The sequence below is a fragment of the Homo sapiens genome, chromosome 17, assembly GCF_000001405.40.
Source record: "Homo sapiens chromosome 17, GRCh38.p14 Primary Assembly".
NCBI lineage: Eukaryota > Metazoa > Chordata > Mammalia > Primates > Hominidae > Homo > Homo sapiens.
In genome coordinates this window covers 17,151,372-17,173,735 of record NC_000017.11, presented here as the reverse complement: position 1 = coordinate 17,173,735, position 22,364 = coordinate 17,151,372, and the positions used below count along the sequence as shown (strand labels likewise).

General features: G+C 54.4%; 1 protein-coding gene and 1 pseudogene across 12 annotated transcripts in view, besides 3 other annotated features; both read right to left on the bottom strand.

Annotated features, from left to right (window-relative positions):
• MPRIP (myosin phosphatase Rho interacting protein) overlaps positions 1 to 22,364 on the bottom strand; it is a 150,187-nt gene that overhangs the window by 18,908 nt on the left and 108,915 nt on the right. For 7 of the 12 annotated variants that reach the window (XM_011523766.3, XM_047435685.1, XM_047435684.1 and 4 more), the window contains 5 exons: positions 19,321 to 19,430; positions 14,734 to 15,304; positions 12,380 to 12,496; positions 1,871 to 2,018; positions 921 to 1,038 (listed from right to left, as the gene is read on the bottom strand). In XM_011523766.3, coding sequence (XP_011522068.2) covers positions 921 to 1,038; positions 1,871 to 2,018; positions 12,380 to 12,496; positions 14,734 to 15,304; positions 19,321 to 19,430 — 1,064 coding nt within the window. Of the gene's footprint in view, positions 1 to 920; positions 1,039 to 1,870; positions 2,019 to 5,820; positions 9,628 to 12,379; positions 12,497 to 14,733; positions 15,305 to 19,320; positions 19,431 to 22,364 lie in introns of all 12 variants that reach the window. The other 5 variants (NM_001364716.4, XM_011523764.3, XM_011523763.3 and 2 more) reach the window with 1 other exon arrangement.
• Positions 844 to 1,503: an enhancer, noted in NCBI's record as "H3K4me1 hESC enhancer chr17:17075547-17076206 (GRCh37/hg19 assembly coordinates)". NCBI's record gives its function as "activates a minimal SCP1, AML or CMV promoter by ChIP-STARR-seq in naive H9 embryonic stem cells {active_cell/tissue: H9 hESC(naive)}" and the evidence as "EXISTENCE:reporter gene assay evidence [ECO:0000049][PMID:30033119]".
• Positions 1,504 to 2,163: an enhancer, noted in NCBI's record as "H3K4me1 hESC enhancer chr17:17074887-17075546 (GRCh37/hg19 assembly coordinates)". NCBI's record gives its function as "activates a minimal SCP1, AML or CMV promoter by ChIP-STARR-seq in naive and primed H9 embryonic stem cells {active_cell/tissue: H9 hESC(naive and primed)}" and the evidence as "EXISTENCE:reporter gene assay evidence [ECO:0000049][PMID:30033119]".
• RNU6-767P (RNA, U6 small nuclear 767, pseudogene) lies at positions 3,547 to 3,653 on the bottom strand (annotated as a pseudogene).
• Positions 5,894 to 6,496: an enhancer, noted in NCBI's record as "H3K4me1 hESC enhancer chr17:17070554-17071156 (GRCh37/hg19 assembly coordinates)". NCBI's record gives its function as "activates a minimal SCP1, AML or CMV promoter by ChIP-STARR-seq in naive and primed H9 embryonic stem cells {active_cell/tissue: H9 hESC(naive and primed)}" and the evidence as "EXISTENCE:reporter gene assay evidence [ECO:0000049][PMID:30033119]".

The window sequence follows — 22,364 nt, the reverse complement described above, 5'->3', positions numbered from 1 at the left end:
CCTGGTCCTTTCTCACAGTCTGACAGTCCTACAGCTAGCACTTCTCTGGGGATGCCAGTCAGGACAGAGTCCAGTCTGCAGCCACACAGAACCCCCATTTCTAGAACTCTCTTCTGACTCAGAATTTGTTTTCAGTAAACCCACTTTTGAAGCCATCTGTGTCTGACAGCCAGGACCAGGCTCTACACAAGACCCAAAAACCCAAGCTTCCTGAGGCTGTTCTGCCACCCTGGATCCAGGAGGGCCGTCCTCCTGCAGGTGAACCAGGGATGAGGGGCTTCCAGGTGGGCCACCCTGCTCTGACCAAGGTCAGCGTGAGCCTCTACAGGGTGCTGCTGACTGCTGCCAGCTCCTGAGGCAGGGCCCCTGGCTTCGGCTATGCTATAAAGGCTCCTGGTAGAGCCTGAGTGCCGTGAGGCTCATGGTGGCCAATCTGTGGGCTTCTGGCTGTGTCAATTCTACCAAGTGAAAAAAGTCTACAGCAGTTTTTCTGGTATTTTTCTATCCTGCCTGTGCAGAGGGAATCAGCACGTGTGGTTTTAAACCACAGTGCTAGTTCTCACTTCTGCCCTGTACGACCAAGCCCGGCTGCCTGGCTCCTGGTGGGCTAGCAGGGCAGCTGTCGAAGAACACATCTGGGCAGTTGCTGGGATCAGCCCTGGACAAGAGGGGAGTTTAAGATTTCGTTTGTTACATCTCGTTCTTGGCATTTCGAGGAACAGTCTCTCTGAATAAAGGAGGCCCCACTTGGGCCATATCCTGCACTGGACAAGAGGGCATCTGAGCTGCCCTCAGCACCCAGGGGCCCCAGGCCCCACTTCTGGAGGCCTCTGCAAAGACACAGGAAGGGCCCAGCTGTGGCCTGGTCAGCACCCCAGAGGGGCCCTCCCAAGGGCAGATGGGCAGGCCCAGCCACTTACAGGTACTGGCGCCGCAGGGCCTCAACATCCGAGTTGACGCTGCTGATCTGGGACCGCTGGCTCTTCTCCAGCTCCCGCTCCATTTCCTCCCGGTGGGCGTTCTTCATGGCTTCGATGGCTGCAGGCAAGGACACGGCCTCAGCACCGAGGGACCACGCCCTTCCTGCTGACAGGGGTGGGGGTGGGGAGCTCCACACAATGGGATGGCGCCTGCCACTGCTGATGCTTGCTTAGTCAATCAGCAGTTGGATTTTGCATGACAGGCTGGCCCCTCATGAACCAATTCTCTGAGGTGGGTGCAGGCTGGGAGAATTCTTCATGAACTCCCCCTGGAAGGAATGCACGTTTGGCTTTTTTTTTGGTGTTAGAAGAAAACCAAACTGATTAAATAAATGTCATTGTTAAATTCCAACATGAGTTTATAAAACAAGCAAGCTTTTGTGCTGGTGTATTTTCTTCCTTGGAACTAAATTAACAAACCACTGAGGTGGCGATTACATAAAGGGAAGGCAGCACAAGGCGGAGGGGACGTGCTTGTTTAGGGCCACCTGCCGGTGAAGCTACATATCTTCACGCTGACGGCAGGGGCATTCTGGCCAGAGGTGGTCCCACGTTGACAGGTGTCTGTCAGGGGGAAAGTCACTGGCTGGACTGACACTGGTCAGTCTACTTGTTGGAACTGGAAAGTCACAGGTTGGGACAGCTCCTTGTGTGCAGCCGGCCACGACGGGGCTGTCAGGGGTCGAAGTGTGCGCTCTCAGTTTACAAGCTCTCAAAAGGGACCTAAAATTGGCCTTTGCCTCAGAGTGAATAGTCAAAGAACCCTTCAACAATGAAGTTTACATCTCAGCCAAAAGGCAATTTAAAGGCTGCCATTCCTCTGAGTTGTGTGTCTAGCTCAAAAAAAGCTGGCCACCCACCCTGCCCTCAGGGTTACCCCACCCCCCAACCTGAGATGGTGGCCGCTGTCTCCTCGGCTAGGAGGCGGTCTTTCTCTTCTCGAAGTTTCTCTAGCTCCCGCTGGTGCTGCCTCTGGAGATCTTCAATCTTCTTCTGGTGCGTTTCTTCCATTGCTGCAAACCCTCGCTCGCACGTGGCCTGCAAAATGCAAAAGGGACTTCATCGACTTCTTTCTTTACCTCTAAGTTGGGGGCCCTTTTAAATAAAGGAGCCAGGAATCCCACCCTGTCCAGGCCCAGCTGTGACTGGGCATTCACTGAGCTTGCTCCACCATGGGCGCCCTGAACAGGATCCCTGGGGCTGTCTGGGGATTCTCAGCAATGCCATCAGAGCATTCAGAAAAGGGTGTTACCAGTCAACTCTACCTCTTATTTCTGTGACTGTACTGTGCCCCATTTCTTCCTGGGAGAAGTTGGTATGGTAGGTGGGGACAGGCTGCTATGAAATGGAAACCAGCCAACCCTGGACCTTCCTGCGTTGCTGCCAGGTGGGACCCACAGGAAGGAAGAGAGAGCACGTGGGCAGAGGCTGGCTGTGTCTGGTCTGGAGGGACACGGTGAAAGGCCCGTAAAACAGGGATGAGGGACTTGTCTGCTGGAGGGAACCAAGGCCATTCCACATATAGGGAGTGGCCTGGCGGGCACCGGGCTGGGAGCCTCTCAACCCACAGTGGGTTGGGGGTACATAGAGTCCACTTCTGGGAGCTGGGGGTTGGGACTCTGCCACTAGCCAGCTGACAACCTCCAGCTGGTCACTTAATGCTCAGGTGTTGACTGAGGGAGTAAGATCAGGCTACAGGCTCCCCTTCCTTCTAGCCTGTGTCTTCTTTCTTACTCTTTTCTTAAAGAAGGGCACCAATGACTTAGCACCTCTGCTAACTCTAACAAGTACATGACAGGAGACCTGCTTTCCAAACTCTCCTGTGCCTCCCTAGAGCGACATAGGCATGCCCCAGGATGGGAGCAAGCCACACCAGGAAGCCCAGGCCTGGTTATCAGAGCTGTGCTCACTAACAAAGCAGGTGAGCGTGCTGCACAGCTGCCGGGAAGGGTGGGTGTGCAGCTATTTTGAGCACGGAGGCACACACTTTCTGTCTAAATCCTTCAAGTGGTCTGCTTCAGAGAAGGGACTGGGCCTCTCGCTGAGTTTTAAAAACTGGAAGAACGTGGCCACATTCCATTCCAAATTCAAGTGTGGGGGTTTCCCCACTCTGGGCTGATAGCCTGCACCACTTGGTTAATCTTCTTGCATGTGGATTCAAGAAAGGATACCAAGAAATCCTATCAGCATGCCTGGGCATTTTTCTCTGGGCCCACTTTTGGTGATGGCCAACTCTGAGAGCCTCAGGCAGTATTTCCAAACTCGTGGTCAGTCTGGACTTGACTGCAACCTATGTGCTGCTCTGGGTGAATGTCTCAGCTATTGCCACTATTAACTAGGCGTCCCATCCCCTCTCCCAGCGGCTCCACCTGGAAGCATCTGTCTCTTTCTGCCACCCTCACACCTCAGGACGGCTGCAGGAGCTCGGAGCTCTGGAGCTCCTGGTCCTCAGGCCCCAAGGTTGAGCTCTTCTTTCTTCCTCCCACTCGCTTCTGTTTGTATGTGGCTTCTCAGTTAACACATTTAACTAATAGGTCTTTTTTAATTAAAAAAAAAAAAAATATATATATATATGGAATACTTCATGAATTTGTGTGTCATCCTTGTAAAGGGGCCATACTAATCTTCTCTGTATCATTCCAATTTTAGTATATATGCTGCTAAAACGAGCACAACTAGTATTAATAGATCTTTTAAGTCTTTTTTTTTTTTCTTTGAGTCTACTTGCTGGGAAAAGTCTTATTTTGATCTGAGTGCTTTGGAATATTATGCAGGTAAGAGTCAAAAATCTAACAGAAGCACTGGGACATCTTTAAAGACCTAGTTGCTTCTTTGGAGAGAAACTATATGCTAAAAAATAATTGATCTTGCAAACAAATGTTAATTTAAGCCAATCATTCCTGACACCAAAAGAAGTTCCCCGATGACTGCAATCGTGGTGTGGTGGGAGCCTGTGGATGTCAGAGGACGGCTGTTAGGCCAAGACCCTGTCCCCAACGACCCAAGTGGAAATCTGCATAAAGTGATGAAATCTCAAGGTGCTGTCTATTTACAAGTTCTGTAAGTCTGCAGGGGTGGGTGAGAACACCACACCTGGGCTAGAAGCTCCCAGGCACAGGAGGGGACACTATGCAACGGCAGCTAAGGCAGCAGGGAGTGGACAGTGTCCAAGCCCCTGGGAGGGGCCTCATCCCGACCTGCATCATCTGTTTCTCCCTCCTAGTGACACTGGCCCAGCACAATCTCTGGTCAGTTCTCAACATAAGGCAGTCCTCTTTTTTCTGATTTCTTGCTCACTGTTGGTATAATGGCACCTGCATGGGGCCTCCCCTGCACCTGGTTGGCTAACCTAAAGCAGCCTCGGTGTGGAGGGGCCTCTTATGGATGCAGACAGGAAGCAGGGCATTGCTGTGCCCAGGCCCTGCCCCCATGGACCCTGCTGATTGTCTGGGAAGCTGCAGGGAAGGGCACTAGCAAGCGTATTTGGGGTCAAAGCAAAGGTTTGTGCAATTAACTTTTCAAGGTGCACCTGGATCCACCCATCTCAGTGCTGCTCTTGGTGAACTGACCACAGTGCCATCATATACACACACTTTGAAAACATAGCTGTTGAAACCTTCTCACAACTCATAATGGTTTTTAAAAGGTTTTGACTGATTTGGGGAAAGAATGGTGAAAAAGAGCTTCTCAGTTCTCCTGAGGTGCTCGCTGACAACCACACCTGTGTGTCTGGGTGGGGCCGAGTCCGTCACACAGAGGTGACATGTGAGCTGCTGTTTCCATTCAGAGCTACAGGAGTAACGGGCTGGGAAAAACAGGTGTCCTGCTAGACAGTGGCTGTGAGGATGTGTAGGCAGGAGCAGTGGCAGCCACCTGGGAGTCAGGAGCTTGCAGCACAATGGTGCTGGCTGTGTGCGCGCCTGGCTCTGCCACATGAGCGTGGAAGGCACCACCTGAACATGGCTTTTGAGGGGCCTAGTCATCCTAGTCATTTACTGGGGCAGCTTCCTGAGTGGAAGGAACATAAGGGCACAGGTATCATGGTAAACTTTTGAGTCTAAGGGATGATGCTTGACAGCCACACATGGTGGGTGTGGCCTGCAGCTACAAAGGGTGGGGCCAGACAGCTGGGCCTCCACTCAGCCCACCACCACCTCCAGGGCCTGGCATTTCGCCTTTGTGCTCCAGGACCTCAGGGGCGGGGATGCAGGACAGTTCTGGGGAAAATCTACTTGTAAAGGTCCTGGGGAAGGGGACAGGAGTGGCTGGAGGCTGTGCTCCGTGGGAAAGTTCTTCTCACCAGAGCACACATCAAATGCCAGTTCCAGAGAGGGACCCTCCGCCCGACTGTGCTCTCCTAGGGCAATCAGGAGGAGACTGCCCTCCAACTGGGCCCTGGCTCTCCGGGGTGTTGCTGTGAGTACAAGGCTGTCCTCAGGCAGCTGCCTCAGATTTGGGCTGGGACTGGGCCAGACGGGGTTCCCGGGGCAGGGGCAGGAAGGAGGCAAGGCTGGCAAGGGGATTGGGGGCTGCTCTCAGGAACACGGAGAGGCCGCATTAGGCAGGCAGGGAAGTGCTGGGAAGACTACGTGCTCCTCTCCCACCAGGGACCCTGGCGGCCCTCCTGCTAGTTCTCCTCCTGGTGGAGGACACTGGGGGATGCCGAACAAGAGGCTAAGCCTGCGGCCCAGGCCCTGCTGAGACCACACCATGGCTAGCAAGTAGAGGGACAGCAGCATATCCCCTCAATTCTGCCTGCACGGTAGCTGAGCCAGACGTCCCCACACCCACCCCATTATCAAGGAAGATCTGCTCTGCAAATTGAATGGGGCGTTAAGACCTTAAGGCTCTCCAAGTCCCTCTGGTACTTCTCACGCAGTGTGGCCGCGTCGCCCTCCAGGTCCTTGTGTCCCAGCTCCTCCCGCATGACATCCATCTGGGCCTCCAGCTCCTGGATGCGCTCCCTCAGCCCCGTCATGGAGTCAGCCTCTCCCTGGGTGGCCTGCCAGTTGGGGGCAGGGGCTGGCAGGGCCTTGGGGTGTGGCCCCTGGTGGAGGCAGAGGGTGTCCTGAAGGCACCTCAGGCTCTGCGAGTAGTGCTCCTGCAGGGTCCTCAGCTCCTCCTCGTGGATCGTCTGCAGCTCCCGGACCTTGAGCTGGAACCTGTCCTCCAGGGTCTGTATCTGCTCACCATGATGCCTCTCCATGTCCTGCCTGTCTCTGACCGAGGCATCCAGCTGGCTCAGGACCCGGCTGCGCTCAGCCTGCAGTGTGCTCTCGGTCCTGGTCAGCTGCTCCACCACACACCGAATCTCCTCCTCATACCTGCCCCGCAGGGTGAACATGCTCATGCTGTGCTTGCTCTCTGCATCCTCCAGACACTGCTGCTGATGGTCTAGCTGGGCGGCCTTGGCCTTGAGCTCTGCATTCTCCCTTTCAACAATGGCGATCACATCCAGGTACTCGCTCTTCTGCTTGCGGAGAAGCTCCTCATACTCCTCCCTCAGGGCCCGGGCTGCCTGTGCCTGCTCTGAGCAGGAGGGCTCCCGGGTTTGCCAGGACTCCTTGCAGAGCTGGAGCTCCTTCTCATATTCTAGCCGGATTCTGCAGGACGCATAGCAAACCTGGGCCTGAATAATGGCATCCTGAACCAACAATGAAGAATACTGACCGAGGCCTCCCAAACAAGTGTTATACGAGAGACTCTGGGACACCTGGAGAAGCTTCTGGCAATCTCTCAGCGATTCCACAGGTGGCAGAGATGGTAAGGCAGCCGCTATCTCCTCTAAGAGGCTGGCCTTCTCCTTCAGCTGCTGGGCAAGCTCCTCCTGAATAGCAACAAAGGCCCCAGGGCTCTGGTCAGACACATCGAAGGGCTCCTGAGAGCTGTCTGAGTCTCGGCCCAGGACTTCTCCTAAGGGGCTCAGGTCCCAGGACAGCTGAACACCATCTTCATGGCCCGCTGGAAGCCTGAGGGCTTCCAAGACCTGCTGCATCACTCTTTCAAAGTCTGGGGTTTGGTAGGCTCCCAGGATTTCCCTCAGCAGGCATTTGTGCTGCCGCAGGGCCGTCTGGGTGCCCCGCAGGGTCTCCTGGATGCTCTGTAGCCTGCGGTGGAACGACTCCCTCACTGACTGTGTGGCAAAGCTGAGCTCTGCCCTGACCCATGTGGCATTGGCCAGGATGGGGGCCAGGCCCTGTGGGATGCTTTGCTGCCCGTCTCCTGAGGCACCGACTGCCTCTCCTCCCAGTGTCCCCAAGTGCTTCCTCAGAGACTCAACCTGGCTCCAGAACTCACCATCCACTAGGACCTTCCTGGCCCAGGTGTCTACGGGGGCCCCAGCAGATTCCATCGGTGGCTGTCCTGACCAAGAAATCTCATGGAGCATTCGGGAGACATCTGATGTTGTGTTCTTCAGGGAATCTGCTATCTGGCTGATCAGCGAGGCCTCCAGAGCAATCTGGTCAGAAAGAAGCCTCACCTGCTCCTGCTCTGTCAACTCAGACTGGGAGCACTGCTGCAGGGAGGCAGGCTTCCCATTCTCCTCGGTGCCACCTGTCTCCAGCTGTGCACGGGCCCCGCCATGGGCTGGGGCCGGCCAGTGCTGCAGGGCTTGGATGGCGCTGACGAGTGCACTCTCCACACTGGCCAGGGAGGCTGCGCGTGCGTCCTGCTCATCCTCCTGGCTGGCCCTAGGCAGAGATCTCAGTTGTTCTCGGCAATTTTCCAGGCACATCAGGGCCTGACTATTCTTGACCTGGAAGTCCCCAAGCTCTCCAACATGCCCTTCAACCCTCCTGGCCCTCTCCTGCCTCTCCTGCTCCAGCTGGGAGGCCAGTGCGCCAACCTGGAGCAGGCTGGCGCGGAGCTGCTCACGCAGCTGGGCCTCGGTGCCCGCCCACTGGTGGTGCAGTGCGAGCAGTGCCTCACGGCTCTGACCCTGCTGGCTCTCCAGCCTCACGGTCACGTCTTTGAGCTTTTCCTCTGTGACGTAGAGCTTGGTCTCCAGGGAGTGGATGATGGAGAGGTACGTGTCAGAGTCGCCAGTTGCAGGCAGTACACTGGGTGCAGGCTCTGAGGACATGCTTTCTTCCGAGGGTGACCGGTCCTGGCTGGTGTCGGAAGATGTGCTGCTGGTCCAGGTCTTCTCAGACCCTTCGGGGTGAATGTATCTTTGGCACTGGATTGTGGAGAACCGGATTCTTTGCCTTTTAACACCAGGTGCCCCTTGGTCGAGTTTGGCTGTGCCCTGCTGATGGCCCTCCCTGTCAAGCACTTCCACTGACTTTGGGGGCACCATGCTGTCTTCCCTACTGGGGCTGCCATCACCGTACTCTTCCCCCGGAGGAGCCCCCAGGTCCTCGTCCTCATCCTCGAGCCTTGTGTGTGGGAGGCCTAGAGGTGCCCTAGTGGCTTGGACTGGTTGGCCTGGGAGCAAAGTGCCATCCCTTTCTGTCTCTTCAGGGGTACTCCGTGGCTCTTCCATGTCCTTTGGAGATTCACTTGCAAATTTCCTTAAAATCTCTTCTTTTGCCTGGAGCTTAATTTCTGTTTCCTCTAAGCTGCTCCCCAAGGCAACCATTTTAACCAAAGCCTCATTGAGGTCCTGCTCCTTCTTCTCCAGAACCTTCTCATGTGCTTCCTTAATGCGCTCCAGCTCTTCCTCCTTCTCTCTCAGCAGAGTGTGCATGCTCTGCAGCTGGCTGGAGACCCTCTGGTAGGAGTGCTCCAGGCTCTGGTTGTCAGCCTCTCTTCTCCTCAGCTTTTCCCGGAGCTCAGCCACATCCTCGTCGGACGTGGCCACGCGCTCTGTCAGCTCCTGGAACCGCTGTCTGAGGAGGTCCCGCTCGTCACAGAGGCTCTGCACGTGCTCTGCGAGCCTGCGCACGCTGGCCTCTCGTGCCTCCAGCTGCTCCTCCAGCTGGTGCACCTGCTCACTGCCCTCGAAAGTGGCGCTCAGCTTCTCCTTCTGCAGGGTCTCCACCTGCTGTGCCTGACCCTGCAGCTGGTCCTCATAGGCGCTGGCCTTGTCTTCCACTTCCTTTAGGTTCTGCAGCAATGCCTGCTTCTCCTTCTCACAGCTCTCCAGCAGCAGCTCATAGTTTCTCTGCAGCTTCTCCTCCATCAGCCGCTGCGCCTGCTCACTGGCGCCCAGTTGCTGGCTGAGGTCGGCAATGCGCTCCTGCAGCCTCTGGACCTCCTTCTGCCGGTCCCGCTGCAGCGCCTGCTGTGTCTCCAGGCCCCGTAGCTCCTGCGTCTTCTCCAGCAGCAGGGCCTCAGCACTCTTGAGCTTCTGCTCGCTAGCCCTCAGCTGGCTGCTCAGCGCCGCCTCGCTGTGTTGCCGCTCCTCCAGCTGCTCGCGGACCCGGCCCTGCTCCCGCTTCAGGTCGCCCTTGAGCTTGGCCAGCGCCTGCTCCTTGATGGCTAGCTCAGCGGCCGCATTGCTGAGCCGTGCCTGAAGGCTCCGGATCTCAGCCTCGTGGTGCCGGATCGTGTCCTTGGCCTCCCCATAGCTACGCTTCAGGGTCTGAATCTGGTGTGTAATCAGCTCCTGGCGCTGGCACTGGGCTTCAAGCTCACTTTGAAGGTCTTGGTTGACTCTATGGAGCCTCTGCCAGGCACCCGATGGGGAGGCGGCCACTTCAGTCTTAAAAAAACCGATTAAATACTGGTTAGTAACACTCGGGCCTCCCAGTTCTGAGTGTCACACCTCTGGCCAGGAACAACCACAGAAAGCTCCTTGATGGCTTTGGCTTTTATCCTTTGTACAACTTTATTTTTTTTTCCCATTAAAAAAATCCAACAAATTTTCTTTTTTTTTTTTTTTAGTAAGTAGCTGCTTCCAGGTAAACAGAAAACATGGACAATAACATCAGAAAACAGCTTTAACCAAACAGCTTCTAGGAGAAATAAACCAAACAAAACTGAATAATGGAACACACTAAGAAGCAAAACAAAGACTAAAGGACAAGAGAGCGCCAGGAAGAGGGACAGGCGGGAGGAGCACAGCACCTGCAGCTGTTTGTTTCACAAAACAAAAAGTACGCAGTCTTGACAACAAATCCTAAACAAGCGCAGGACACAAGGTGTAGGTAAATGATGCCACTTCCTTCTAAGACAGGAGGAGAAGGAAGGAAGGTAACACTCGGGAGATGTCAGCAAGGTGACATCCAAACATTTTCCTGTGGAAAGTGTAGTCAGTCCTCTAGAGTAACAGGAAGAACTAATCTCTACCTGTAAGAAGTCAAAACGAGGGGGGAACGGGAACCATGGAGTAAGATACAATAATCAACAAAACAAACAAACCTTTGTGGAGTTCAAAATAAGAAAAAGTGAAGCATGCAAAAACAAAACACAACGTAAATGAAACAAAACTCCCCACACTGAAAGGCATGCAGAGACAGAACTCATTAATATAGGGAAAAACAACACAAACAAGAGTGAGCCGAGCCCAGCCTAAGAATCTGGCCTGCCTATGGCTCCCTCTCGGTCTGCTGGCCGGGGAAGCCACAGATGTGACACTCAGTTATGTTAAGTTCAAGTTACACTTCACACTCAATGTCCAAATCATGCAAGCTCCTCCCAGCAGTTAGTATAGCACCCACCCCAGTAGCTGGCTCCTGACCCTTAACCCCACAGACCCCCTGCTCATTCTGAGTCGTGATTAAAAGCATTTCCAAAGCATAAAGGGTGGTGAGAAGTCACAGGTTATTAGACTTAGGGAAAAGGTATTAAAGACCAGCTTTGCCCAGTGCTGACCAACAGGGGCTTCAGTGTAGGCTCATGCAATTATGCAAGTTAGACAGAGGTAGGTTCCTAGGTTAGCAATGTGCAAAGTCCGCTGCTTAGTACAAGTTGAGTATCCCTTATCCAAAATACTTGGGACAAGAACTGTTTCGGATTTTAAAATATTTGCATTCTACTTACTGGGTGAGCATCCCCAATCCAAAAATCCAAAATCTGAAATGCTCCAGTGAGCATTTCCTTTCAGCATAATGTCAGCGTTCAGTTTTGGATTTTGGAGCATTTCAGATTTTCGAATTTGGGATGCTGAACTTTTATCTTTACTACCTGATTTGAAGCCAGTTCTTATAGGATGAGGCCCAATCAAGAATTAAAAAGATGCTCCTCAAACCTGGAGGGCAAGCGCAAATGACCTTGGCAGGGAGGCCCACAGGGAGGCCCTGTTCACCAGGTCTGAACAGGGCATGGCAATGACTATGGCAGAAGAGGCTGGAGAGGAGAGTCTAGGGCATGTGGGGCAGAAAGAAAGAGAAGGCCCAGGGAGCACACAGGAGAAGAAACAGCAGAGAGTCTGCAAAGAGGCAGACTATGGTCAGAGGCCAGCTGAGTGCCCCTGTTCCATCTGCTGCCTGGGACAACTCAGACCAAGGTCAGCGCACTGCGGTCTGCAAATGTAGACAATACGTGACAGAGACTCGGGGTCTAAGAGCCGGAAGGGCCCTCAGGGATCACTGGGTCTAAGTCTACACAGGCAGCAGACTGCCGCTGTAGAGGAGGGGACACATGCACTTGCTTTGGGGGTCAGTAGCAGGGCCAAGTCTTGAACCTAGGACCTTGATTCTAATGTTATACCCTCAGCCTTTGCCGAGAACTTAGGCTCCCTGTTCTGGTACCCCACTTCACTTCTCCTGCAGTATTTATATATCAATCTTCCTATCACAATCTCCTCTACCACTCAATGGGGACAAGAGTATATCTGTTTTATGCCCAATACCTGGCACAAGGCCTGGCACGCTGCAGGAAAGTCAGCAGACATAGGCACGCCCTTGGGCCAGGCTAGCTCCAGCCTTGTGACACCCCTATATCAGGGCTCTGTGGTACAGGATCTCAGTGGAGGTATCCCGGGGTTGGGCTAGTAGTGGTAAGAGCCCCAGCTCTGCCTGCCAGGTGTGGTATAGAAACAGATGGGAATGGGGTCCAGTACTAGCTTTGCCACTGACTTGCTGTTGGTTGTAAGCAGGCACTGGACTTGCTGTGTGATTCAATGTCTTCAATCTGTACAATAGGTCCAATATTACTATAGTGAAAACTATGAGAAATCACATGCAAATGTATGGTATTTACAATAAATGTATATTGGCTACTTTCAGAGTCAAAGGGAAAGGTCACCAAAATCATTTTATTACCAAAAAAAGTCCTTAGATATAGAGGTTTCAGGGAGATTCCCCAAAATGTCATATCAGGAGGGAAAAACAAACAGACCCCCCCAAGCACATTGAGTGTCCAGTCCTGTGGCAGAAAAGCCCAGGGGCATGAGCTCCTGGGAGACACCCCTGCTCAGCCAAGTTTTGCACACTCCTAGCCTGCCTGAGCATGAACCCTTCACACTGAAGCTCCTGAGCGCACCATGGGCCACAGCAGCCCCTCCACCCTACCTGCAGCACGTAGCCCTCACGGGCGCTCTGCTCCCGGCCCAGGGCCACCCTCAGCTGGTCCTGCAGGAGCCGGTTCTGCTCCAGAAGGTCTGAGGCCTCCTTCTGGCTCTGCTCCAGCTGTTGGCAAAAAGACACACACTTTTATGCAAAATGACAATGATAAACAAAGCAGCTGCACAGCACAGACTCTTTCACTGGTCTTCCATGTGGCCCAAGAGTTTTGGAGTCTCCACATTTCAGCAGATGTGCTGATATGGCCTTTACCAGCAGCATTTGGAAGTGAAGGTTCCAATGCAAGCCATCAGTAACAATGGCAGACTTGGTACCTTATGGGCACCAAGGGACTACCTTGTCCTTCCCTACTCCAGGCACCCCTGGATGCCCACATACTTCCCACACCTGCTCAAGGTTCCAACATGCACGCCCTATATAGGTGCCAAGGCCCATACGGGGTGTTCATTTCTGAGAAGGGGAATGTGTCCACTGGGGAACAAGGGTTTTGCATCTGCATCTGGAGGAAGCACCCCATGGGGTCCTTTGGGTGTCCTCAGCTGGTCACACAGGCCAGGCTAGGCTCTACAGGGACCACTGTGAGTGGTGGCCCCAAGCAGGCCTCACTCCAGGGCCCACTATGGTCTCAACTGAAACCACTCCATTTGACCAGCTTTACATGATGGATTCCACAAAGTTCTGTTTGCAAAAAGAGTTCCCGCAGTTCCCTCAAACAAGGTGTGGATACCCATGAGTAAGCTATTTTACACTCTTCTTGCTTTCAACAGCTTCAGCTACTCATTCATCCATCCACCTCTTCCCTACACACCTCCCAGGTGCCTCCTGATGCCTGGCCATGTGCAGGGCTACCCAACCTGCTCCCAGAGCTCGTGCTGAATGGAGCTGTGTGTGTGGTGGACAGTCAGGCCAGTGCCGCCCAGGGTGCTGACAGACTGTGCTGTGAGAGGCGGGGAGACCCCTGACTTTTATTTATTTTTTTTGAGATGGACTCTCGCTCTGTCGCCAGGCTGGAGTACGATGGTGCGATCTCAGGTCACTGCAACCTCTGCCTCCTGGGTTCAAGTGATTCTCCTGCCTCAGCCTTCCAAGTAGCTGGGACTACAGGAATGCACCACCATGCCCAGCTAATTTTTGTATTTTTAGTAGAGACGGGGTTTCACCATGTTGGCCGGATGGTCTTGATCTCTTGACCTTGTGATCCGCCCGCCTCGGCCTCCCAAAGTACCGGGATTACAGGCGTGAGCCACCATGCCCAGCCGACCCCTGACTTTTAAACAGTGAAGACTGACCCCCCAGATTGTTGAGCCAGTGTGTCGCCTGCTGGCTGGCCCATTTTGGTAGCCTGAAGTAATGTGAGTTTCAACTGTTATTTTATTTCATCTTGCCTTTGTTACTTGTTAATGGATGAGGAAAATGAAAAAGTACAAGTATTAGTGCTGGTGGTAACTCAGCCTCATACAGTTAATAAAATACAAAAAAGATGAGAAGCTTGAGGCATACCCAAGTGGCAAATCTTTAACAAGCTACTTACGTAAGAGAACACATTTGAAACACAGTGTTGAAAACTGTCCCTAAATGGAGAGTGAAACAGGGAGTTCTACAAAAACTGTAACGCTACACCTCCCCAGCTACGAGACTCCCTGCCCAGACATGTCAATCTACCACTGAAGTTCTGCAGACTGGATTTCTGCATACATTTCCATGAAAGAACATCTTATTTTATAGTTCGGGGGCCAGCTTGTTCATCTATGTACCTAGGTGCACTGAAGGCCTCGTGGAGGAGTGACAGTCACAGGGCAGCCTTCATCCACAGCCTACCCTGCCTCACCACTGTCTTCTGCTTCATATCCTCATGACCTAGGACCCAGCTGTCATCTCCTGCTGGATGCCCCTGGCTTCAGATCTGATCGGCCGTCCCCAAGCCACTGTAAGAGCACCTGGGGCTGGTCTCTGCCTACAGCTTTGACCTGTCCAAGCCAGGGCTGCGTAATGCAAAAGCCTTGCCCTGCTCGCGCCCCTCCTGCCATCGGGAGTCAGAACGAGGAAACCATCTAGGCCCTGCAACGCCGCTTGCCTCTCAATGGCAGGGGCCCCCACCATCGGAAGAATTCCTCTGTGCCTGGAAGGCCCCTTTCCCTGCCCTGCATGCACTGGCACGCTCCCACAGCTCTCAGGTCTGCCTCAACTATGAGGACTCATCTATGCGTCTGTCTCCCCTAGGGGTCTGCAAGTCCCTCGCGGGTAGGACTGTCTAGATGAACCCCTCAGGCCACAGCTGGGCACAGCTGATGCTCTGGAAAGGCTGCTGGGAGCAGGGTGGGGATCTGGTCCCAGGCTATTACCTCCTTCTCGAGCAGAGAGGTCAGCTCGTGTGTGGAGAGCCGGTCACCCCCATCTTCAGAAGACAGGTGGACGGGGGCGATGGGCACCTGCTTCTCTTCCCGGAGAGGTGTGGTCTCCACCTGATGCCACCGCTGCTCAATCTCCACGTGGACGTTATGCGTTTTGAGGTCGCTCATAGGCAGCCCTGGGCTCCGGTCCACCTCCATGCGCAGGGCTGCATCCTCAGTGCCTGGCCCGTCTGTGGCGTCGAGCATCCCGAAGCGCTTGCGGCGCTCCTCCCGCCTCCGTGCACGCTCCCGCTCCAGCTCCCCAGGCTCCGCCTCAGGGCGCAGGGGCTCGTGGGTGTCAGCAGGCCCCACGCCGCCCACCCGCTCCTGAGCCAGGGCCTGCTGGATGGGACGGAACTCAGCCCAGTCAAAGGTCTTGGAGCGGCCCTCTCGCCTCCGCTCCCGTGCGCGGCTCCTCTTCTGCTCAGGGTCCGGCTCCCCCAGCTCTGCCTCTTGCTTCTCAGTAGGCCTCGGGCAGGTCTCAAAAGAGCAGCTGCTCTTGTTTTTTTCCTCTGGCAACGAGCTGTGGGGCAGGAGGATGGACATAGCCTGTCAGGGGCGGCTCTGGTGTGGCCTGCCAGGCAGAAGCTGGCAATGCTGAGCCACAACCCAGCCCCTGTGAGCACCACATCCTTTTTCTATCCTAATCCCAGCTTCCTAAGTGCAGGGAGGACAGGAATACTCTGCCTTTACCCCACATCCCTTCCCAAACTGGTTCTGAGTGGGGGAGGGGGAGGGGGACGGGGAGGGGAAGGGGAAAGGAAGGGAAAAGAGCCTCAGAAAGCTGAGGTTTCCCACATAATGACACTGGGGGGGTCCCTTGACTGAAGAGGCTGTGAGGGGCTCACTGTGGTGGTCCCGTTGCCAGGGTATGGAGCCAGGGGAGTCCCAGGACTCCCACAGCCTCAGAGGCAGGACGGGCCAGCCCTGCCTTGCTCAGGGCCAAGAACTACATTAGGCTGCACCTGGGCACAGCCACCGTACCTGCCAGGTGAGGCCTGGGCCCTGTGCACCCCTGGACTGGACAGTGGTGACAGAATGAGGGAAAACTAGCACTTTCTAGAAGGGCTTACCTTTTAATAAGCAGGTAACGTGATCAGATCTATGTTTTGTTTTTTTTTTTTTTGAGATGGAGTTTCACTCTTGTTACCCAGGCTGGAGTGCAATGGCGCGATCTCGGCTCACCACAACCTCTGCCTGCTGGGTTCAAGCGATTCTCCTGCCTCAGCCTCCCAAGTAGCTGGGATTACCGGCATGCGCTACCATGCCTGGCTAATTTTGTATTTTTAGTAGAAACGGGGTTTCTCCATGTTGGCCAGGCTGGTCTCAAACTCCTGACCTCAGGTGATCCGCCTGCCTCCCAAAGTGCTGGGATTACAGGCGTGAGCTACTGTGCCCAGCCTGAATCTATGTTTTAAAAGCCCAATCCAGCTGCTGGCATGACAGATGGATCAGTATGAAAGACTGGGACCTCCTAAGGGTGAGGGAAACAGGAGGCCCAGGTGGCCACGAGTTCACACCATGCAGTAGCCAGAGGCTTGGAGAGGAAGGCAGAAGGGGAGAAGGACACTGGGTTACCTGCCACCTTGAGCAGGCAAGCGGCAGCCAGCAACGGGACATGAGCTGCGCAGGTCGTGCTCATGGTGCTGCTACCTGCCCTGCAGTAAGTGGAGTGAAGCCAGGTCTGCCTGAGGAATCCATGTCTAGTCCCCATCTGCTAGAAGCAGAGATTCCTGGGGAGGCCTCGTCTGCAGTAGGGCAGGGACAGGGACATTGCTGATGGCAATTTGTCAAGGAGGCTGGGAGTGTTTGAGGCAAAGGTTTGTAGACTCTAGAGATAGGCCCCACAGACTGCCAGCTGGTCCGAGGCTGACTGAGGGGCCCCTAATCTCACCCAGGCCCTCAGAAGGCAGTTGCAAGCCCACCTGAGGACAGTGAGGGCCCAAGGAGGAGCTCCAGGGAGCACATGTGTTTCAATTAGGGCCAAAAGGAAAGGAGTCTTTAGAGAGAGAACCAAGGAAAAGAGGAAATGGTTGCCGTCACCACCTGGAGCAAGGGTCACCTGTCCAGGCAGCAATCGAGTGAGAGGCAAAGTGCTTCACAGCAACAGGATCTGCAGGTGTCCACTGTAAGAGCACGCTAACATCTGGATGAAAACGACACAGGGCAGATCTTGTGACGTCACTGAACTAAGAGCTCCTGGCCATGGAGAGTGTCAGGATGACACATAGGGCAGGGCATGCATGGAGGCCCCCAGCCTGGCCCTGACAGCCGCCAAAGTCACAGCCACACCAGAACCGGCCGCACTCCCTAGGAGAAACCTCCCCACAAGGCTCCTCTAGTGCCAAAGGCGGGAAGCACCCTGCAACTTCCCCACCCCAGGACTTCAAGATGGCGATGAGAGCAGGACGAGGACAGCAGCTTCTGAGACTGCAGTTTGTTTTCATGCCTCCTTGAGATTTTGCCTGGCAGCACTAAAAAACTCACATTTTTCCTCAAATAATAAAAGCCTACACAGAGGAAGAATAAATGCTGAAAACAAACTGGTGGAGGGTGAGCACTCTACCAGACTATGCAGATATGCTAGGTTATGAAGTAATTCTTAGTCAGGAGGCCAACTGCCAGGTCAACTTTCATGTGAGAGCCAAACCCTTGTCTCCTCATTCATTCCCCTGGGCCCATAGCCCCTGCACGCAGGGAAGCAGGCACTCAAGCGTGGAGGCGCCTCTCCTGAGCTGTGTGCAGGCACAGGCATGTGCACAGGTGCATTCCTGACATCTGCCCTGGGACATCCCAAAGCTGACTTCTTCCAGACAGGATTGCCAATCTACAGCACCGAGCCCAGGCCTGGCTGGGAAGAGGGGCAGGAGAGGACCTCAGGCCAGCTACCCATATGCACTGCCCACCACTCCCCATCCTGGACCCCCGTGATAAGCTCTGTCTGCTGCCAATAGCTTGGGCAAAGAAGCTGAGGCCTTTCTCACTTTGCTCTGGTGGCTTCCTAAAGGTGCTTGGAAAAGAGCACTTAGCTTGTCAAGCTTGGGTGTCTGCTCCTGATGGGAGAGCCATGGAAGCAGTAGCTGAGGCCACCACAGGATGTGGCCCCTGGAGGGTGGGAGAGCTTGCTGCAGCTCTGGGTGCCTCCTGCTGGCTGTGCACAAAGAGGACTTGTCACTAGACAACAAGCCAGCTCTCTGCATAGGATCCTGAGAGACAGAGGGCAACCTGTCCCGGTCACGGCCTCTTGGCCTTACTAGACAGTGTTTGTTTAATAAATGAAGTCATGAACAAATGACAGACACAGAAAAGAGGACTATAAAGAAATCAATTTAGGAGTTCTTTCCTTCTTATGTAAAGAGGTGTGGAGTCCGCAGGAAGAAGGCAAAGGTTTGGATACAGAATGTGCCTTTAGGCCGGCTGTGGTGGCTCATGCCTGCAATTTCAGCACTTTGGGAGGCCAAGGCGAGTGGATCACCTGAGGTCACGAGTTCAAGACCAGCCTGGCCAACAAGGTGAAATCCCGTCTCTACTAAAAATACAAAAATTAGCCGGGTGTGGTGGGTAATCCCAGCTACTTGGGAGGCTGAGGCAGGAGAACTGCTTGAACCCACGAGGTGGAGGTTGCAGCGAGCCGAGATCACGTTATTGCACTCTAGCCTAGGCAACAGAACAAGACTCCATCTCAAAAAAAAAAAAAAGAACACGCTTTTAGGTCAAAGCTTCCATGGACAGCCCCCGCTGTGACATTGCCACACCCAAGCAGCCTAACCCACAGCACAAGAAACACATTCGAGATGTAATCTACATCACATGACCTGAGAAATGGCACCAGAGGTGCTCAGATGCGTGGAGGCTCTGAAGGTGGGGACAGCAGAGTTCTGGCCATCAAAGGACCAGCCCCCACACTGGAATCTTCTCTGCTTTTTTTGTTTTGTTTTGTTTTAGATATGTCTGAGTCTTCTGATTCTCCATCTTTTAAAATGAGAACTAGGTCTTTAACCTTCAGGGCAGGAGGAAAAAAGCCCAAAGCAAAATCTGAGACACATGAACCACAGAATGCAAAAACAGGAGAGGGTTTTTCAAATTGGCTGCACAGAAATCAAACAGACGTAGGAGTGAGGTGAAAAGAAGGCCAAGACAAAGAAGCACTGGGTGGCCTATGGATGCCGCACATGGGGCCACCCTTAGAGCAGCAGAGCCCAAGGCCTGAGAGCACCGACTGCGGGGCTCAGGCTGGTCTGGCCAAGTGCCTGCTGACACAGATGGAAGATTCTCCACCAAAGCCCAGTTCTAATGACCAGCACACATGCTACCTGCAAGATGAAACGCTTGGGCTTACAAGAGAAAAGAACCAGAAATGTTTGTTCTGATTACTTGGGACAGGAACCTGAGCAACAGAAGGACACAGGAAGGAAGGAGCAGCAGACTGGGATGCACTGAGCTCAGGTCTCAGACTTCAGACCTGAGTCTGACACTGCCCTGGCGGGAGTGGCACCCACAAGAGGCACAAAGGGCTCCCTGGTGTCTTCACCATCCTACCTGGTCACATCCGGGGCAGTGGTCGGGTGCACGTGCTTCATGATGGTCTGGATCCAGTTCCGCCGAATCCCAGATGTCATGGCCGACAGGGTAAACTCGCCCTCCTTTGTCTACAGAGAAAAGATGAGGCACCATCAGTGACTGTCCCCTAGGGTGCCTGCTGCCCTCCATCTCCAAAGAAGCTCCCTGCACTGGGTAAAGTCCCACAGGGAGAAAGGCTGTGACTGGGTGACCCTTCTAGGAGTGCCACATGTGCCCACTACTGGGACATGAGGGAGCTGGAGAGCAGGAGACGTCAAAGCTGTGGGAGGGACGTGTATTTGTGGCAATGGTAAATCCGGTATCTTCTCTCAGTAACAAGCTCACAGTTACTGAGCACCCACTACGCACCAGCAGCCTGTCCACTCAGACAGAGGAGGATGCTGCACCCCTCTTTAAGGAGTTCCCAGCCTCGGGGGAAGGGCAGAATCAGCATGTGCTGAGCAGTGGTGGAGGTGGGGAATCCGGAAGGGCGTGTGTGTTGGGCGTGGGGAGTGGCACCTGCAGTCTGCACTCACACAGGCACATGGCATGATGGGCCCAGGGAGTGGTTAAGAACAAGGGGTATCAGGGTCTTGTTGGTGGCACTGAGAAAAGGCAGGGAGACCTGCTGGGTGGTTACTGCAGCTGTCCAAGTGATGAGAATTAAGGTGATGGCAGGGGACAGGGCAGCTCAGAAGTAACAAAAGGGGTATGAACAGCGTCTGGCTGGTTGGGTTGGGGAGCACCTAGACAAGCCCTAGACTCCTGCTTGGATGAGGTGGAGTCTAGGGCTTGTCCTCGGTGCTTGTGCAAGGTAGCAGGGGAGGAGCCTGTTTTGGGCGAGGAACGGGGCAGCAGGTAGGACAAAGCAGCAAAGAGCACATGGCTCTGGGACATGACCACTGCGCCCCTGAGCAGACCTGCCTGGGTACCAGGCAGGGGAGGGCCAGTGGCCTGCATGGAGCTGGAGGCCTGCTTCTGCACCTACAGGCACCTGCCCAACAGAAGCGAGGGCTGCAGCCTTGAACCGAGAGCTGCTCACAAGCAGACTCAGCAGCCAGGTCAGTAGGGAAGCTGACGGCAGGATGCAATCATGAGGATGGTTTTCGGATGGGTGCTAGTGGCCTGGCCAGAAGCCAAAACAGGAGATCACGCACCGGCCTGACGTGCCACAAAGCACAGCTGGGAGGGACCTGACCTGCCCCTCCACATGCCCGATCAAGACACCACCACTGCCCAGCTCGGTCCTCCTTCATCAGTTCTCATATCCATGTGAGCTGAGTTGGGGGGGTACCACCTTCTCCTGGGTCCATCCTTCTCCACCCCCAGGTGTGGGCGTTGCTGGAGTTTGGCCTCAGCACTCCACATACAGCTGTTTTCTCCAGCTGAATTTTCTTTCCCAGCGGCTGCCTAATGTTCTCTGAGAGCCCATCATGCCTCAAATGGATCACAGCCGGAATTCCAGGGGATCCCCCTGCTTCTGTGAAGTCAGCTCTTCTGCTGGCTTCTCAGTGGGCGGGGCCTTCTTGCCAGGTCCTGGCCCTGCCCTCACCTCTTCCTCCCAGGTGCTGCTCCTTCCTTTCTTGCCCAGCTTTACCGTGCCAGCCTGGTTCCTTTCTAATGGACCTGCATGTCCCGCCAGACATGTATCATGAACGCACAACTGACTGGCATCTTCTAACACCCTTCAGTGCTCTCCACAAAGGCTGGACCAGCGCCAACCTGACTCTCCACCCAGCACTCTAGCCCCAGACTGGCTCTGTGCTCTCTGTGCCACCAGGTCTGGAGTCCAGTCTGGGACATGCTTTCACACTCATCCCTCCTGCTGAGCCTTGAGGGATCCTTCTCCAGGAAGCCTCCCCCAGGAAGCCTTCTCCACACTGGAAGCATCTCCTCATTCCTTAGAACTCTCAGTAGTTGGGGATCACCGAAAGTCATCAGGATAAGCCCTACCAGGGTGAAGTGAGGAGGGGTTGATCAGTGGGTGAGAGTGGCTGATGCCCTCATTTGTCACTAGGAGAGCGGGGTGAGTTCTCAGACTTCAGGTGTGCCCTGCCTGGAGAAAGCTGCTCATGAAGATGGGAGGTGGACGGCAGGAGAGGAGGCTCACCGGGCACTATGCCCGCCTACCCCTCCCACAGCGGATGAGGACAGAGGAGCCTTGAAACTTGGGCAGTGCAGGCCACTAAGAGCAGACAACTCACACCCGGCCCTGGTGCCAGGCTGTCAGTGTAGCCTCCAACTGTGACTCAGCTCCTCTCGCAGATGCCTGCACGCAGGAAGCCACAGCCAGCAGCCCAGTGGGCTGGCGGCCAGGATTTTCTTAGTAAATGAACACACTGGCCTTTGGGTCTATACTTCAGTCTCCTCTAAGTTGGGCCAAACTGAGTGAGCCCCAAATACTGGATCAACTCTCAACACAGCAATAAAATTGAGTTTCTGGGCCCCAAAATTTGAAGGTATGACCCTGCTACAGGTGAGCCCACCAGAGTCTAGCCTTGTGTGAGAACCAAGTCCCAGGGCCAGGGCCCAGCCCCATGGGGGCAGCTCTCTACTCATCACACTCTCCACCCATCTTAAAGCCCTTGCGAGTGACGAACTAACTTTACCCAAAGAGAGGCCTGGCCTCTGTCCTAGCTCCTGGGAGGTAACTTCCAAACCTTGGAATTTCCTGAATGACTAGAGTCTTTGTTACTCATGGTGGTACCCTGGGACCCCACCTAACACTTCATGCTGACAAGACAACTCAGGGTAGAGGCTGGCCTGGCCAGAAGCAGGAAATTAGAGGAAACCCATTAAATCAGAGGGTTGGGGTTTGGGCCATGTGAAAGTAGCCAACCATGGCGGGAAGGGCTTTAGGTGGAGTTCAACTATGAGGACAACAACTCCATCAACCACAGCAGCTACAGAGCCTCCTAAAACTCAACACCGGGGCTCAGGTGGGCTTCCGGGCAATGCTCTGCGCACTGCCCCACATCAGGGCTAAGAGGACACCGTGTCCCCAAGGATGCAGAAACTTTTGG